At 35.2% G+C, this 18622-nt stretch overlaps 1 protein-coding gene across 19 annotated transcripts in view; it reads right to left on the reverse strand.

Annotated features, from left to right (window-relative positions):
- PCDH15 (protocadherin related 15) overlaps window positions 1-18622 on the reverse strand; it is a 1825172-nt gene that overhangs the window by 84044 nt on the left and 1722506 nt on the right. For all 19 annotated transcript variants that reach the window (XM_047425663.1, NM_001354420.2, NM_001354429.2 and 16 more), the window contains one exon: window positions 16429-16556. In XM_047425663.1, coding sequence (XP_047281619.1) covers window positions 16429-16556 — 128 coding nt within the window. The remainder of the gene's footprint in view (window positions 1-16428; window positions 16557-18622) is intronic.

An 18622-nucleotide genomic window follows, 5' to 3' on the forward strand; every position in this document is an offset into this window, starting at 1 on the left:
ACTTTTTCCTATGATGTTTGTTCTCTGCTGAGTGTCGAAATCCCTCCAACTGCCTTTTCTAAGATGCAGGCTGTTCCCTTTCACTTATTTTTATTGCCCATTTTGGGCTCTTTATCAACGCCCTATATTATAAAACATCAGCAAGGACTGTGTCTGTGCTTACGTTTTTGAAGGATTTATGAATCTGTTTTTGACATGTTGGCATGATTATGCAATTTTTTCAGGTCCAAATGATACTATACTAGCTCATGATCCTGGATTCTGAAACCAAGAACCAAAGTAAACACATATGCTAGTTCATACTGACTTTCATTCTCCCTACCACCCTGTCTTTCAGATCCAACCTAAGGTATTTGATTACTGGCACCTCTCAGCTACTACCACCTGTAATATAGTATTTCGTCTTCCTAAAACATGCATTCTTGCTATAAATGACAAGAACACTATGTGGCATTGTTTTACCAAGCATTAAATATCGAGAATTCCTTAACATTAAGTAAAGAGAAGACTAATATTTAGATGGAATAAACTATGCTAACCAATAAGAAAAATACTAGCTTATCCCCTTTTGTCAGAATTATTTTATCTTCCATGAAGAATAACTTAAAATTAACAGAAAGTTGAATAATCTTTTTCCTTTTCCTTTTAATTTCAAGCTTGTTAAACATTTTTAGAAATGTAATATACATTTCTAAAATTGTGTCTCTACAGCTTCACGTTTCTTCTTTGTTTCTACAGTACTCTCATGAAAATTCAATTCTCTTCCCTGTATTTTTAAAAACTCATTAAACAGGTCGGGCACGGTGGCTCACGCCTGTAATCCCAGCACTTTGGGAGGCCGAGGCGGGCGGATCACGAGGTCAGGAGATCCAGACCATCCTGACTAACACGGGTGAAACCCCGTCTCTACTAAAAATACGAAAAATTAGCCGGGCGTGGTGGCACATGCCTGTAGTCCCAGATACTCGGGAGGCCAAGGCAGGAGAATGGCGTGAACCCGGGAGGCGTAGCTTGCAGTGAGCCAAGATCGCGCCACCGCACTCCAGCCTGGGCGACAGAGCAAGACTCCATCTCCAAAAAATAAAAATAAAAAACAAAAAACAAAAAAACAAAAACTAACTCCTAAAACATAGGTAATAAAAGAATACAGGATCTTCAAAAAAAGAAAACAGTCATTAAAAACTACAGAAATACTATAATAATTTGACATCTACTCCTTAATTTGGCAGTGCCATACACCATGGGTTGTAAGAAAGAAGAGAATATATAGTTTAAAAAATGCTATTAATACTTTTCTCCAGCCCCTAACCCAACCCACTCATGCAGTTTTTCTTCATAGAAGAAGAGATTTTGCTGGTTTGTTTAAACACAGACCAAAAATATGTTCACCTCTGCTCAATATTGTATAGCTGACATTCTCTTTAAATATATCTGTAGACCAATTGGATACAAATAAACATTCCAACACTATATATACATATATATATATATATATGTATATATGTACGTATATATATGTACGTATATATATATACGTATATATACATATATATATATATTCCATATCAGTTGTTTGGGGTTTCTTAATATTACAAATTTGTCTTACAAATTACATAGGAGTAGAAATTCTAGGTAAGGAGATATGCATAAGTTCAGATGTAATAGATAGATAATATCAAACTTTTTCCAAAATGTCTTACTAATTTTTATCCCCTCAGCAATATCTGAGAACTTCAGTCGCTTCACAATTTGATTTTGTCTGTTTTTTTTTTTTTTTTTTTTTTAGTCATTGTGATGAACATGTGTTGGTTTCTTATGGTTTGTTTTCAATTCCCTAGCAGTTAAGTTTGATATATATATATATATATATATATATATATATATATATATCTCCTGTGGAAATTGATAAGCTGATTCTAAACCTTATTTGGTAATGAGCACACAGAGAGAGCCAAGAGAAGCCAACAAACCTTGAAGACAAAAAAATAAGCAGAAGACTTACACTATCAGATATTATAAAACTATAGTAATTCAGATAGCAGAATGATGCAAAGACAAACAGGTCAATGAAATAGAATAAAGTATTCAGAAATAAGCCTTTACATCCATGACCATTTGACTTAGAACAGAGAGAACACGTCAAGTAGAGTGGAGAAAAAAAATGGTCTCTTTAGAAAATGATGCTGGTCAATTAAATATCCACATGGGAAATAAAAAAAAAAAAATCTTGACCTCCTACATCACTCCAAACACACAAAAAAATCCCATATGGACTGTAAATCTAAACATAAAATATGAAATAAAATTTTTGGAAATAAACTTAAAAAAGTCATGTTTTTGTGTTACTCAAAGAGCTTTTAAACAAGACAAAAAGTTGCTCAACATGAAAAAATAATAAATTGTATTAAAAGTTTCTGCTCATGAAAAAGCATAAAAAATAGGGTGAAAATGCAAGCCATACCTTGGGAGACGATATATCCAATACATATATTGAATAAAGATATGCAATCCAGAGTATATAAAGAATTCTAAAGACTTAATGAGAAAACAAAACAAACAACAGAATGTCCAGAGAAAAATGTTAGAAAGAGACCAAAATAGTCGCCACATAAAGAGGATACAAATACTGGCAAAAAATATATAAAGAGACATTTGACTATCTTAACTACTAGGGAATGGTAAACGAAGCACAAGAAACCATCACATGTTCATCACAGTGACTAAAAAAAAAAATCAGACAAAATCAAATTGTGAAGCAACTGAAGTTCTCAGATACTGCTGAGGGGATATAAATTAGTAAAACATTTTTGAAAACAGTTTGATATTATCTATCTATTAAGTCTGAACTTATGAATATCCCCTTACCTAGAATTTCTACTCCTAAGTATATTTGTAATATTAAGAAACCCCAAACAACTTATATGGACAGTATATAGGATATATTAACTGTAATATATTTGTACAATGAAATTCTCTAGAGCAATGAAAATGAATCAATTATTACTACATGCAATAATAACATAGATGAATCTCACAAATATAGTGTGAGAAAATGAATCTAAACAAAAAATACAATTTTCCTAAGTCTATAAAAATATCGTAAACAAGAAAAACAAATTTATGGTTGGAAGTCATACTAGTTATTCTTACGGGGATGTGGAGCAGGAACTGGTAATGCTCTGTTTCTTGACCTGGGCACTGGTTACACTACCGTGTTCACTTTGTAAATATTTATCTAGCTGCACACTTAGAATCTGTGTGATTTTGCATATGCAGGTTGCATTATGTATGCAGCTTGTAATAAAAATTATACATCAAAAATATTCTTTTAGGCTGGGCACAGTGGCTCATGCCTGTAATCCCAGCACTTTGGAAGGCCGATGCAGGCGGATCACAAGGTCAGGAGATCGAGACCATCCTGGCTAATACGGTGAAACACCATCTCTACTAAAAATACAAAAAATTAGCTAGACTTGGTGGCACATGCCTGTAGTCCCAGCTACTCGGGAGGCTGAGGCAGGAGAATCGCTTGAACCTGGAGGCGGAGGTTGCAGTGAGCTGAGATGGTGCCACTGCATGTCCAGCCTGGGCGACAGAGTGAGACACTGTCTCAAAAAAAAGAACAAAAAAATTCTTTTGATATCAGCATTCAACATATCTTGGGGTCTATTGGCTTCAGGTGTTGATAGTCTTTCAAATTACTATGAGCCTCACTGACTTTTGTCCTTTTCTAGATTACTGGGTTTCTAAGAGACCATAAATGTCTAGGGGGAGAAATCCTGGAAATGAGTAAAATGAAACATTATTAAAGAGAGAATTATCTTTATAAAAACTAGTGTAGCTACCACATAAAGTTTCTGGATCAACTTGATGGAGATGCCTAGTTTAGATGTTATTTTTGTTCACTAGAATGCATTTTTGTGAATCCAGGCATTTCATTGCCTGTTTTTGAAAAAAAAGGAAAAATAAAAAAATTTTAAAGTCTCTGCAATTCTCAGATTTTCAGTGAATTACAACTAACCAGTGCAAATTGTATTCTCTTTATGCATAAAATCTCTCTCCAGGCCTGCGGGTTTCCCTTAAGGTAAATTAATTGAAACTAATAGGAAGAATCATTTATTTCTTATGGCTTATTTGGAACTAAACTTTCTTCATAACGCATTTTAAGGAACTCTTGTACTTTACCGTTCTTATTGGAAATATTGATAGACAATTCAAAATTAAGATACATTTATAGAAGTATGAATAAACAATTTTTAAAAGCTCATTTTCCTCATTTTTTCCCCTTATATTCGTGTTATAGATCTCCTGTGTCAGGTCAGTACAGCACAAAGTTAATGGAGGTTCAAGACATTACAGGACATCTTCAGACAAAAGTAATTTTTATTTGCCCAATTTATCTTCTGAATTGTGCCTTGCAATGCAGCCTTCACTTTCAGAAAAATTCTGAGATTTTCAAAGGGAGAACCAAATGTCAGTATTCTTGCTCTACAGATGATGGAGGATGTGGCCTTTGAAACATAATATAGGAGAGTACACACAATCATCACTACTCTAAAACTTATAAAACCTCCTAAAAGTAAATGCAAGCTTACCTCCAAAAATAGTATTCCATACCTATACCTTGGATTGTTACACATTTAATCATCTGAGAGATACAAAGACATTTAATAAATTTCTAATACTGCTAGAGTGCACTCAAACTTTAAAATATATGAGCCACCAGCAAGTTTAGGAAAGGCAAAATTATTTGGCCATTTACCAAATAAACTACTTTATTTTCATGTATCATGTCCAATGGCTCTTCAAATTCATAAAAAGTCCTTAAACTCTCTACTTTAAAAATAAAGTATCCAGGCTGGTCGTTGTGGCTCATGCCTGTAATCCCAGCATTTTGGGAGGCCAAGGTAGGCAGACTGCCTGAGGTCAGGGTTTCGAGACCAGTCTGGCCAACATGGTGAAACCCTGTCTTTACTAAAAATAAAAAAAAAAAAAAAATACAAAAAAGTTAGCTGGGTGTGGCTTTCACCTGTAATCCCAGCTACTTGGGATGCTGAGGCAGGGGAATTGCTTGAACCAGGGAGGTGAAGGTTGCAGTGAGCCGAGATCATGCCAATGCACTCCACCCTGGGTGACAGAGCAACACTCCATATCAAAACAAACAAACAAAAAAGTTTCCAGTTATCAGAGCAGCTTTACATCTATGTTTTTTTTTTTTTTTTTTTTTTTTCCAAGACAGAGTCTCTGTCGCCCAGGCCGGAGTGCCGTGGTGGCATCTTGGCTCACTGCAACCTCAGACGCCTGGATTCAAGCAATTCTCCTGCCTCAGCCTCTTGAGTAGCTGGGATTACAGGCGCCTGCCACTGCACCCGGCTAATTTTTTGTAGTTTTTAGTAGAGACTGGGTTTCACCATCTTGGCCAGGCTGGTCTTGAACTCCTGACCTCGTGATCCACCCGCCCCGGCCTCCCAAAGTTCTGGGATTACAGGCGTGAGCCACTGGGACCGGCCTCATCGATTTTGAAACATCCAAGCTTCCCTCATTCTTCAGATAATTATAGTCTGGGAAAAGTAGTCCGATTTCTATTATAAGTAATACGAATTAAAGCAATTTTTAATTAAATTACATTCAAATTAATAGGCATAAATTGTTTGCTAGGAGAATGATATTTTTTGGTGTCCCTTCTACAATAACAAACAAACTGATTTGTGTGGAGAGGGGGAAGAAGAGTAAAACATATGCAGAATTATTTCATTGTATACTCAACTGACATCTAAAATAGACTTCATCTTGTCCACTTATATTAAAAGAACATAACAAGAATGTTTTACTTGTTCAGACTAATAAGGAGAAATGCTATGTATCAGCAACTGGTAATGTTTTTTATGGTTCTCAACTAGTACAGGAGAAAATGCAGGATTAGACTATTTGAAACGGAATATCAAGTTTCAGTTATATAGGAGGAATAAGGTAAAGGGATATATTGTACAACATGGTGACTATAGTAACAGCGATATATTCTTTAAAAATAAAATACAGAATACAGTGTAGAAACAGAATAGATTTTTTTGTAATCATCTGTCTGCATTTGTGCCACAGAATTTCAAAATGAATGTGAAGTATTTTCTAAAAATATATGATATAATCTAAAAATAATTGAAAGAAAAGATGATAGAGAGTAAACGTAAAATATATAAAGGAAATCAGAGAAAGTCAGTATACCACAATTTGTATTGCATTCATCTTCTAAAATTGCCAAAGATGGATCAAATATTTGACTTTGAGTGTCGGTGGAAAAAAACAAAAGGAAAATATTAAGTACAGTATAGCCTGTGATCATATAACAAAAATAGCCCAGTTGTTCAGGAAAAAAAAAATCTTCACATTTGATGTCACCAGTGAGGCTAAATAAATGTAAAACTATGATACATGGATAACATTCATAAAGCTGTCATCAAGTCTGAGTTTCTAATTTGGCAAGAAGTGAAACCCACAGGGAAGTCCAGGGTGATGTTATTCTGTGTTGTAATCAGCCCAAAAGAGTTTAATGTAAAATGTATTTTACTAATTTGAAATGATCATTCATGCAACATATGTTAAACAGGTTAAAAGACATGAGTATATGTAAAAATAAATAAATAAAATTTTAAGAAGTCATTATATGAAAAAGGTACTTGCACACACGTTTATAGCAGCACAATTTGCAATTGCAAAAAATCTGGAACTAGCCTAAATGCCCATCAACCAATGAGTGGATAAAGAAAATGTGGTATATATACACCATTGAATACTAGTCAGCCATAAAAAGGATTGAAATAATGGCATTTACAGCAACCTGGATGGAGTTGGAGGCCATTATTCTAAGTGAAGTAACTCAGGAATGGAAAACCAAATACTGTATGTTCTCATCTGCAAGTGGGAGCTAAGCTATGAGGACGCAAAGGCATAAGAATAATACAATGAATTTTGGGGACTCGGGGGACAGAGTGGGAGGAAGGTGAGGGGTAAAAGACTACACAATGGGTACAGTGTATGCTGCTTAGATGACAGGTGCACCAAAATCTCAGAAATCATCACTAAAGAACTTATCCATGTAGCCAAAAACCACTTGTTCTCCCCAAAATACTTTTTTGCTAAACTTTTTTTAAAACCCAGGGGTACAAGTGCAGGTTTGCTATATGGGTAAACTTGTGTCAGGGGGGTTTGTTGTACCCAAAAATTATTGAAATAAAATAAACTAAATTAAAATCAATAAATAAAATTTTAAACAAACACCAATTTGAAATGTTAAGCCCAATATATAATGTCTTTAAGTTGATGGGAAAACATAATGTCTGCTTAGATGAAATTTAAATTCTAGTAGGAAAATCATGCACACAGATAAACGATAACAGTATAATTGGTTTAAGTGCTAAACTAGACATATAGTGATTCAGTTACAGGGTCATAGTCAAGAAGGCAATGCACCCTCAGACACCTACATATGTTTGCTTTGTTCAAAGTACAAACCACACAAGGTCAAACACCGTGCCAAAACATGAAGGAAACCAGACGAGATCGGGCGCATTCAGGGTGGTATGGCCATAGATGGAAGGAAACCAGTGATTAGTAAGACCTTGTGAAAACACCTCTCCCTTGAAACCATGAGAGAGTTTCCTCATACTTGGCAATGGGGAACCAAAATTAGTGTTTTATTGGACCTTTACTTCAGGCTGGTTCTTGTTTGCATCTGTTCTATATGTAACTAGGAAGAAAATTGTCACAAAATAACTCACTAGCTTTCAAGTAACATAAACCACAAATACTGTAAAACATAAATGGTGATTTTGATTTCAGAACTAAGTAATCTACGCTATTTGACCTCTAAAATGTGGTTCTCAAGTATAACAGTTGTCACAGGACACTTGACATTGTAACAGTAAATAACACATAAATAAGCAAACCATCAGCTTAAAGATTTTAAAGGGCACCTGCTTCTACAGCAATATTTATGTGAGAAGATATCTGTGGCACAGAGTGATGGAGCATAAAGTCTCACAGAGAGATAAGAGCATGCCCAGAACTAAATCCAGGTGATTAGAATGTCAGTCCAGTGCTCTTCCACTGGAAACGTGGTTGAGCTTGGTCTCGGAAGCAGAATGCCAGGCTGTAAATTGTAGCCTCACTCCCAATTAGCTGCACATGTTGGGAAGGTTACTTATTGCTCCTGTGATGCACTGTTCTCTGTAAATTAAAGAGATGCTACTTGGGGAAAATACATTAAAAATTCAGAAATGTGCTGGAGATGTTTTACCTAAGACCCAGGTGAGCAGGTATAGGGCTAGAGACCAGGAGCCCCCAGGAGCCCCCAGGAGCCCTAACCTCTGTCTAGAAACATTATGTATTACCCTACATTGTTAACCTTGTACATTTCTATACCTTTTGCTACTAAGGAAATTTGCATCCTCTGACCATGACTGTGGCTTTTTTCTATCTACGGCATCACTCTGCTGAAACCTCTCATCACCAGTTTGTGCTTTTGAAAATGTAATAAACAATCAGCCATTAAGTGTTAAGTCTTTTTTCTTGCTGCTTTTTCACAATATTATTTTCTTTTAGTCCATAAATTTCTTAAATTTGGCATCTTTAATAATTCAAAAATAGAATATTCAAAATCTTTTTAACTTTCAGTAGAGATCAAATCAACATTATAACTCAATTCTTCTGACACTGTTTTTCCATATGTGCAACTTGTAAAGAATGAGATTAATCCTCACTGCATTAACTTCTGGAAAATATCTTCATAATTCAGAGTTTTTTAAAATTAATCTTGATCACATTTAACATCTCCCTGTATTTGCAATAAATGCTATTTTTGCAGTTAAGACAACATGCAATAAACTGGAAAAATTAGTTAACAATTTGAAAAGTGTTTTTAAAATCAAATCTTACTTGTTACCTTAACAGGGGGTGTCACAATTTACACAGTTCATCTCAAGTTGAAAAGAAATCGGTTGCCTTTTTACTTGTCTCCTAATTTTTCACAGAAAGTTAGTATGTTCTCTTATTTTCTAGCAGGATTCTACGCCTCATTTCTCCTGGGAAGCAATGTAAGAGGTTACAAGAAAAGTTCTTGAACTGAGGTAGACCTAACTTTAAATTCCAACTTCACTGGGTATTTGGCTGAGTAATACTAGGAAAGTTATCCAGACTTACTGAGCTTCAATTTTCCCAAAAGTGCAATAAGAAATAATTGCATCTACTGCATAAATCAATGTTTAAATTTACTTGTTTTATTTTAATTGATATTATTTTATTTATTCATTTTATTTATTTATTTAAAGAGTGTAGGCTAAAATAAGTAAATGACATTTCACAGTTCTCAGAAAAATAATAATGACAAATAAACCACAGTTATTATTATGAATTAGGGAATATTTATCCATTAACATTTCTTCAAAGCCCAGCAGAAACAAAAAGTTAATGTTCAAAGGCCTAGCTTCAACTTTCCTTCTTCACACAAAAAATTACAAATATTACAAGTATTCATCACTTTTTCTATTTCTTTTTTGTTGACTACATAGTTGCTTTTTTACAGTTCTTTCTATATTCTGGATACTGCTCCTTTGAGATATATATTTTTTAATAGATGTCGTGAGTATTTGCTTTTAACATATTGCTTCACTCAGTCATTTATAGCACCCTTGTTGCAGGAGTCTGCTATTCTGATGTAACCATATTCATCAGTCATTTTTCATTAGTGTAGGACAGGGGTCCCCAACCCTCAGGCCATGGACAACTACCAGTCGGTGACCTGTTAAGAACTGGGCCACACAGCAGGAAGTGAGTGGTGGGTGACTGAGTGAAGCTTCATTTGTATTAATAGCTACTCTTCATGGCTCACATAACCTCCTGAGCTCTGCCTCCTGTAAGATCAGTGGCAGCATCAGGTTCTTATAGGAACATAAACCCTATCGTGACCTGCGCATGAAAGGGTTCCAGGTTGCACAAACCTTATGAGAACCTAATGCCTGATGATCTGTCACTGTCTCTCATCACACCCAGATGGGACCATCTAGTTTCAGAAAAACAAGATCAGGGCTTCCACTGATTCTACATTATGGCGAGTTTTATCATTATTTCATTATATATTACGATGTAATAATAATAGAAATAAAGTGCATAATAAATGTGATGCACTTCAGTCATCCCCAAACCATCCCCCTCTGCACTCCTGTCTGTGAAAAAATTGTTTTCCACAAAACCAGGCCCTGGTGCCAAAAAGGTTGGGGACCGCTGGTGTAGGACATTTCAGTTAATGATGTTCAACTAATGGCCTGCCCTAGAGAAGGAGGACTCAGAATTGTGGGGAGGCTTTTTCAACATACAAGGTAATGCAGATTCTATATGGCCTCCTGACAGGCTGAGAGGATTAGCATGTTCCCACAATGCACATCACTCCCATATTGTTGCAACTGGTGTTTTATGAAATAAAATGTTTAAAAACGCAGTACATAGTCAAGAAAAATAAATTGACTAATATAAATCTTTACTTCTGAATTTGAACATAAGCTTCACATTCATAAGAGCTTCAAAGGAATGAATTAAATTAAATATAGTTTAAAAAATTTTAAAGTTTAAAACATTTTATAAATTAAAAATAGTTTAAAAAAGGTGTTCACATTCTTTCAATAAAAGTGATGCCCTCTCTCCTCTTTTTCTTTACTGTGGTAAAATGTACGTAACACAAAAGTTAGCATTTCAACCACTTTTCAGTGTACAGTTCATTGACATTAAGTGTATTCACATTGTTCTGCAAATACCACTGCCATTCATGCTCAAAACGTCTTCTTCTTCCCAAACGGTAACAGAGTAGCCATTAAACAACAGCTTCCCATTTACCTCCTCCCACTTCACCCCTAAACCCTGGCAGCCAATATTCTGCTTTCTGTCTTTATGAATTTGCCTACTCTAGGTAAGTAGAGTCATACAATATTTGCCCATGTCTAGGTTATTTCACAGAGCATGATGTCCTCATTAATCCATGATGTAACATGTATTAGAATTTATTTCCCTTTAGGACTAAATAATATTCCATTGTATGTGTATATCACATTTTGTTTATTCATTCATCTATAGATGAACATATGTGTTGTTTCTTTTCCCTTTTTTTTTTTTTTTTTTTTTTTTTGAGACAGAGTCTCGCTCTGTCGCCCAGGCTGGAGTGCAGTGGCGTGATTTCGGCTCACTGCAAGCTCCGCCTCCTGGGTTCATGCCAATCTCCTGCCTCAGCCTCCCGAGTAGCTGGGACTACAGGTGCCCACCACCACGCCTGGCTAATTTTTTGTATTTTTAGTAGAGACGGGGGTTTCACCGTGTTAGCCAGGATGGTCTGGATCTCCTGACCTCGTGATCCGCCCGCCTCGGCCTCCCAAAGTGCTGGGATTACAGGCATGAGCCACCGCACCCGGCCCCATATGGGTTGTTTCTAATTTTTAGTTGTTGTAAATAGCACTTCTATGAACATGGGTGTACAAATACATGATCAAGTCTTTGGTTTCAATTATTTTAAGTATATAGTAAGAGTTATATTTTAACTGATATTAACTAATTGTTTTAAAGACTAAAGAAAAACGAATTACCATTGGATTTTCTTTTCGCACTCCTCATAATTAAAATGACTGATTACTTGTCACTAACGGAAATCAACTTCGTAGAACCAGTTGTGACACAGATACCCAGCATGAAACCATAGTAAATATAGATCTTCTCAGATAACTTTTTGTTCTGTGCACTTTTGATACAATTCATGTACTTAAATGTGACATGAGCCTTCAAATTATTGAGCCAGAAATCAAGTATCTACATGTCTGTATATATCTTTGTCCTAGAAAATCCTCAGGAGACCTCCCTTAACAATCACTGCTCAAAAATGACTCACATATCCACGTGCAAACCAATCATTTGCAAAGGTAACAGGACAGGCATGATTGGCTCTGACCAGCCATTTTTCACCACTTTGGAATAGGCTTCACTTCCCCTGAAGCACATGATCCCCAAAAATAATACCTAAATAAAACTGAAATTCTGTTAAAGTGTGAGGTAGGAGAAATAGCCAACTAATGGTGTCTACTATACTCAGACAATGTGAGTATATTAAAACCAGAGACTTCACCTAAATTAACTCAGTGGTACAAACAGAATAATTTAAAACTCACCTTCACCTAAATTTCAGATAATTATATTATTTTCCACTCACTATAGTATAAACATGAACTGAAACTAAATTAGGTATTTTGTCCATCTAGATTTAATTATAACATATGTTTTTATTTATTTACTTTTTTTCGGGGGGGGGTGGTCTAGTTTACTAGAATGTGGCTTCTGTAAGGGTAGAGAGAGCCTATTTTTGTTGCTTCCATATTTTCAGTACAGAGTAAGAACACAGTATATATTTTCTTTAAAAAAATGAACTTAGAACCTAAGTTTTTAAGTATATTAGGTATACCACTTCAGAGCAGATATACAATTGTCTTTATTATGTTATTACTTATATTGGATAATTCACTTCAACAATGTTTTTATTGTGTCACTTTACCTGTAGCATATTTTAAAAATAATGCCCCAAATTCACTACTCATCTTTTAAGCTAATATAGCCTTATTCACTGCTATTTCAAAGTCTTATCTTACTTTGTCAATCTTATTCTATGTCACATTTCTTCTTTCCCTTCTTACACAAAGCACATATTTACATTTAACTTTTATCATTCTGCGTTATATCATGGACCAAAAAAAATTAACTTGTATGCATGGTAGATGATCTACCATTACCTAATATTGTATAGCAATTGGTAGAAACACCTCTTTCACAATCATGGGCTACTTCCCATTTTTAAAATCATCTTTCCTTCCTTCAAACACCACAGCTGAACTGGTCCTGATTCAGTGCTGTTTGCATTAATATTTTTGTTGCTCTAAGTATAAAATGAGAAGAACTGCTTAACTCATGCTCTGATTAAATTCTGGAAAGGAGATTTCAGGCTTCAAGGCTAAAGGCAGCAACTGGAATTGTTAAACATTAAGTATTTATTACTCCCTTCCGCTCGTAAATCCCTTGCCTCCTATCACTCAGATACGCTCTGCACTTTGTTTCTTCTGAGTTTTGGCTTACTTAGTTTGTTTCCTCTACTTAGACTGTGTCTTCCTCACATATGTTTCACTTTGGAAAAAAAAATCTAACCACCCTTCAGTGCTAGTCTTAAATTCTTCATCCTCCAGGAAACCTTTATGTTCATTCACCAACTGAAATGTTTTCTTCCTTTGAATCCACAAGACAATTTGCGCTCTGCTACTTGACTTTATTATTATAGCATACACTTGCATAAACACATTCTTTCTCTCTCTCTCTAAACTTTCTCTCTCTCTCTCTCTCTCTCTCCCCCCCTCTCTCTGTCTGTCTCTCTCTCCCCTCTTTCTCTCACTATTGTATAAAGTACCTAGTATATTATATTGCATGAAGTTGGTTTCCTAGAAAGGACCCCTTTCCCTAGTCTGAATTACCCACTGATAGTTTGAAGGGGGAGGGTTCCTTAGAGTTCTCAGTAGTCTGGAGACACAATCAATCCCAACACTGTATACTTCATCTGAAGAAGTCCATGCATTCTGTCCAGGGCATATGTCCTCACCCTGATGCTTCTTTCAATGCAATGTCTTTACACACCTTATTAAGACTCAGTTTCTCACCTGACTTTTACACTACTACCAAACTTTCGCCAGAATCCCTTGGAAATCACAGACCATCATCAACAAAATCCCCTAAATGTTCAACTTTCCCTCTGAGTATTACCTATACTTTTTGATTCCTTCTTTCTCCCTCTAACCATCCTCGACAAAAGATGCTGCTTTCTGTAGATCTCCCAGTAGTGGCTACCATAATTTACATAGCACAGAGCCCAGGAGTACAGGGCAAGCATCCTTCTGTCTCCTTTGACACTCTGTCCCAATTCCTCTGAAGTAAATCCCATCAGATAATGCCACCCACTAAATTTCCTTGTTATAGTCATCACATGCCTTTTGAGTAATCTCCTTTATTAATGGACTAGTTTAACATTTGGCTTATCTTTTTTTCCTACATCACACTATAGGATTAGTAACATAAGTGGTGATGTAAAAATCCACAAGGGCATTCTAATCACAGTAGCATCTGACAGTCAACGATCCTCTTTTATCAATCTTGTTCTTTCCATGGTTCAGGGACCTTGCATTTTCCCTGTATTCCTGTCACCTCATGGCAGCAACATCTCAGTATCCCCAAACCCTTCTTCTCCTGATCTCTAAGTGCTGAAATTCCCAAAGCTTAGTCTTCGTATTTTTTTTGTCAAACCCATTTTCAGGGTGATTTCATCTTGGCCCCTTATTTCTCTCTCAAGTCTAGATCAGCATTTGCAAATGCCTTGCCAAGAATTAGGTTTCTGTATTGAAAAAGCCTCCCAAACCTTGATTACTGCCATCACAATAGGCAGTGGAGGAGGTATGGGGATCTGTTCAGGACAAAAACCACCAAGTCATTCTTGATTTTTCCTAATGTCCCATGTATGATTCATCGGCAAATCCTATATGTTCTATCCTTTAACCCCCTTCTCAAGGTCTCCATAGCCTATCAACGTCGTTCAAGCTACCGTCAAATTTTTCCTGGACTCGTCATGCATTAAACTCTACTTGTCCAAAACACTGTGTTACCCATTCCCAACATCCCCCATGCAGCATCTACAATAATCTTTTTATATTGGATGATGTCATAACTGTTTAAATCATTCAAAGGCTTTCTTTCCAACACACCTAGAACGAATCCCATATTCTAGCCCCAGGTACATTTCTGATCTCATTTCCTACCAGACTTTTTCATTCACACTAGCCTCCAGCTCCCTGTCTACCTTTAGGGCTTTACAGAGAAATCCCAGAATGCTGCTCACTTAAGAATCCATGTCTTGATCTTTTCCTTTATTCAGGTCACTGTTTCAGTTTTATCCAAAAAGAACTATCTTAACTTTCTTATCTAAAATTGCACCACTCTCATTCTTCCCTTATCAAACTTTTTTGTTTCCTTAGAATTTATCACTACATAACTTACTCATCTATTCATTTCTTCAACTAGTTTGTCTGCATTACTCGGGTGGAAACTTTGTTTGTTTGTTTGCTTTGTCAATTGCTCTATATCAAACTTCTAGAACAGTGTTTAGCACATTATAGGTACTCAAACATATTTGACTAAATGATAGAACTAAATCAATTAAGAGTTAATGAGACTAAAATATAAAATAAGATAAAAATCAGCTACAAAGGATTCCTACTTGTGGATAACAACATAAATTAAATGTAATGAATGACAGATTTGTGGACTACTTTTAGTTAAACTGGTGATTCAGGTCAGGGGTCTGTACTTAGCATAGTGGAAGAGCTATTTTGCAAGCCCAACCCAATTAGGTTGAATTTTTTTTCTTACTGAGAGTGTTTGATAGGTGATAAAACTACACGTAAGAAGAGCTCTAATCATGGTGCTCCTGGTAATAGGAAAAGAAAGGCAATTACTCATGTGCAAAACTAGAAGCAATCAAAAGCTAGATTTGCCAGAGATGTTTAGGTTTTATGTGCAATTTACAGCTATTTACAAGTTAACCATTGAAATGCTGTCCAAAATTAACTCCGCAATTGAGAATCCAAAATGTTTAGCATCTAAACTTTTTCCTCAGTAAAATTCAATCTTTAAAATTTTTTCTTAGTAATAAAACATTAGTAATACACAGTTGATTAGAAATAGTCATAAACATTTGATTATAAACTATTATAAGAGTAATTAGTAATAAACATTTGATGATAAATAAAGAAAAAAATTGAAAACTTACAACTTTGGTCTTAGATACTGCATTTTTGAAATTCCAAGTAAGCCAACATTCTCTGAGACATCAAGGTTTTTGTAACTTTTAGTAAAGTACTAAAACTGGTAGTGTTATTTTTTTACTTTCATTCAATCAGCATTTAAAATTCACAATTTCAGAAAAAAATGGTTAATTTATTCCACTATTTCTTCTATTAGAAGTGGTAATTTTATATTTGTCATTAGAGATTTCATTTTGAGAATCTTTTGAGTTATCCTACTGGAGGAATACAAACCATTAAGAAAAGATATACATTTCAACATCTTATTCAATGTAAAACATCGTAAGTATTTTGTTACCATTTTCATAGTAAAATGAAACTCAAGAAGTTGCTTAGTGTTTACCTGATATAATCTGTATTGAGTTTAGATAACTAAACTAATATAGCTCCAAGTTTCAGGCTTTTGTTTATACAGCATAAGTATGCAGTTAATGCAAACTACAGGCTTACAGCTTATCTGCAAAACCTGAGCTTTTACTTTAGTTCTGTATATTAACATAATTCCGCATACCTTCACTCTGAGTACAGAAGTAAACATTCTTGCATCTTCAGATACACCTCCGATGTAGAATTTTTTCTGAAACACTGGGGGATGATTATTTTCATCCTGAATCTCAATGTATACTTTAGCTGTATTGCCTGGAGGACAAGAAACGATGCATTTTTTATTGGTGGTTATTCATGGGGGAAAAAATGCACTGAAGTAAATATTTGCTGCACTTTTTTTTGGAAACATTGAAAATAAATCAAAAGCCATTTCTAGATGCCATGCCTAGCACCCCCAAATTCAGGGGACACTGATAATGATGCTTCTGGTATAAAAATGTTAAGTTGCTGTTATTTCTTTTAATTACAATGTCCTGGTAGTTCACTTTACTTGATTTAATTTGGCACTAAAATACTGCACCCTGTTAATTTTAATGAAACAACTCTACTGTTCACGTTCACAAACACTTCACACACAATACCAGTTATACCAAAGGGACACAAATATATAAACCCCTTATGAAATAGTAGAAACTGCCATAAACTATTATATGAATATATATTTATTCTTAAGTATAAAATCAGCAATGGCATTTCTTTAGCTTAAAATTGTACAATAACTTTTATGTTTTAAGACTAAAAGTAACAGTGTTCGGGTGAGGTGTTTATTTCCACAAATGGAAAACAAGTTTTATCATGCCTTGGAAACTGTCAATGTTAGAGGCTAACATTCATTGAAAACAATGGAGCTGAAGATATGATTATGACTCATAAATGCTGCATTTTACCATTTAAATAACAGTAAATGTACCATAAATGATATGTCATCATCAAATGTTAGAACCTCCCTCAAATCATCACACCTTTAATGAGAAATGTGGTACTTGTCACTAGTCCAATAATGACCTTTTAAAAAACAATTTAATATGTATAAAAATAACTTATAAACCAAATAAAATGGGAAATAAGTGGCTATTCATTTTGTAAAAAAATAGTCAAATAAGTATTGCTAATGTATTACATAAGTCGACTTTTCTGATTCATTTCAGTTATGAACAAACGGCAATTAACGTACATACTATTTATCAAGGATGCCCTTATTTTGGTGTTTTACCTGTGTTTAATGCCTCCTGTACAATTTTAAGTAATTAACACCAGCCTACTTGCAGGATACATCATGGGTATACATTTGTATTTGTTGAATAAATTAATGAATGAATAGCTTGTATTAGTAAGAACTTAGAAATAGTCTTTTTTTTTTTTTTGCTTGCCCTTGGAAAGGTCAGACAGAACAGTGAGTTAACCTCAAGATTTTGCTCCTATCCTGCTGCTACTCATTCAGCTTTTCTCTGTTTGTCATCTGTGACCTGGAAGAGGTAGAATCAAGAGGAAAATCATGCTAGCGCAACAGATTAGAGAACCAACAGCGAAATAGGGCTAATAGCAGATTATGCTTCTCTATCCTGCAGTGCCAGGGCTCTGACTTGTACCTTAGTCAGCCACCACAAATCAGAATTCACCCAAAATGAAATCATTTTTAGTTCAGTAGCAGACCACTTTTATCTCTAGAATAAAAAATGCGAACAGCTCTAAATTTAAAAATAAAAAGGAATTTTAGAATATGTCACCTTTCCAATAACTTCTTTGCACTTTCATTCAGAAACATATACAATTCAAATGTGCTATTTCTTTTCAGAACTCTTAGAGTGACAGAGGTCTCGGAAAAATACTGATGACGTATATTTTCTTCTTTAAATGGGATGAGTCATTTAAAATGTTATACAATTTGCAAAGAACAAGAACTTTGTCATGACCTGTTCCCTTACCTCCCAACCCTAACTTCATATCTGGATGGTAACCAAATCCTACATGTCAGCCTCATAAGCAGGTAAATCATCACCTAATAAATATATCTTGTGTCATTTTTCTCTCAACTCCACAGCTGCCCATATACTTAAGTCTGTTGTTGTCTCACCTGAGTGACTAAACGTCATCTGCTCCCCTGTCGTGTCTTTCTAATGTGTCCTGCATTCTGATATAACAAAGACATCACAAAATACAAATAGGATACATTAAATCAAATGTTAAACCAACCACCATTCATATGTACATTTTTTTCTTTTTCTTGTTTTTTGAGATGGAGTCTCCCTCTGTCGCCCAGGCTGGAGTGCAGTGGCACGATCTCGGCTCACTGTAAGCTCCACCTCCCGAGTTCATGC

This window comes from Homo sapiens, chromosome 10 (assembly GCF_000001405.40).
Source record: "Homo sapiens chromosome 10, GRCh38.p14 Primary Assembly".
Classification (NCBI taxonomy): domain Eukaryota; kingdom Metazoa; phylum Chordata; class Mammalia; order Primates; family Hominidae; genus Homo; species Homo sapiens.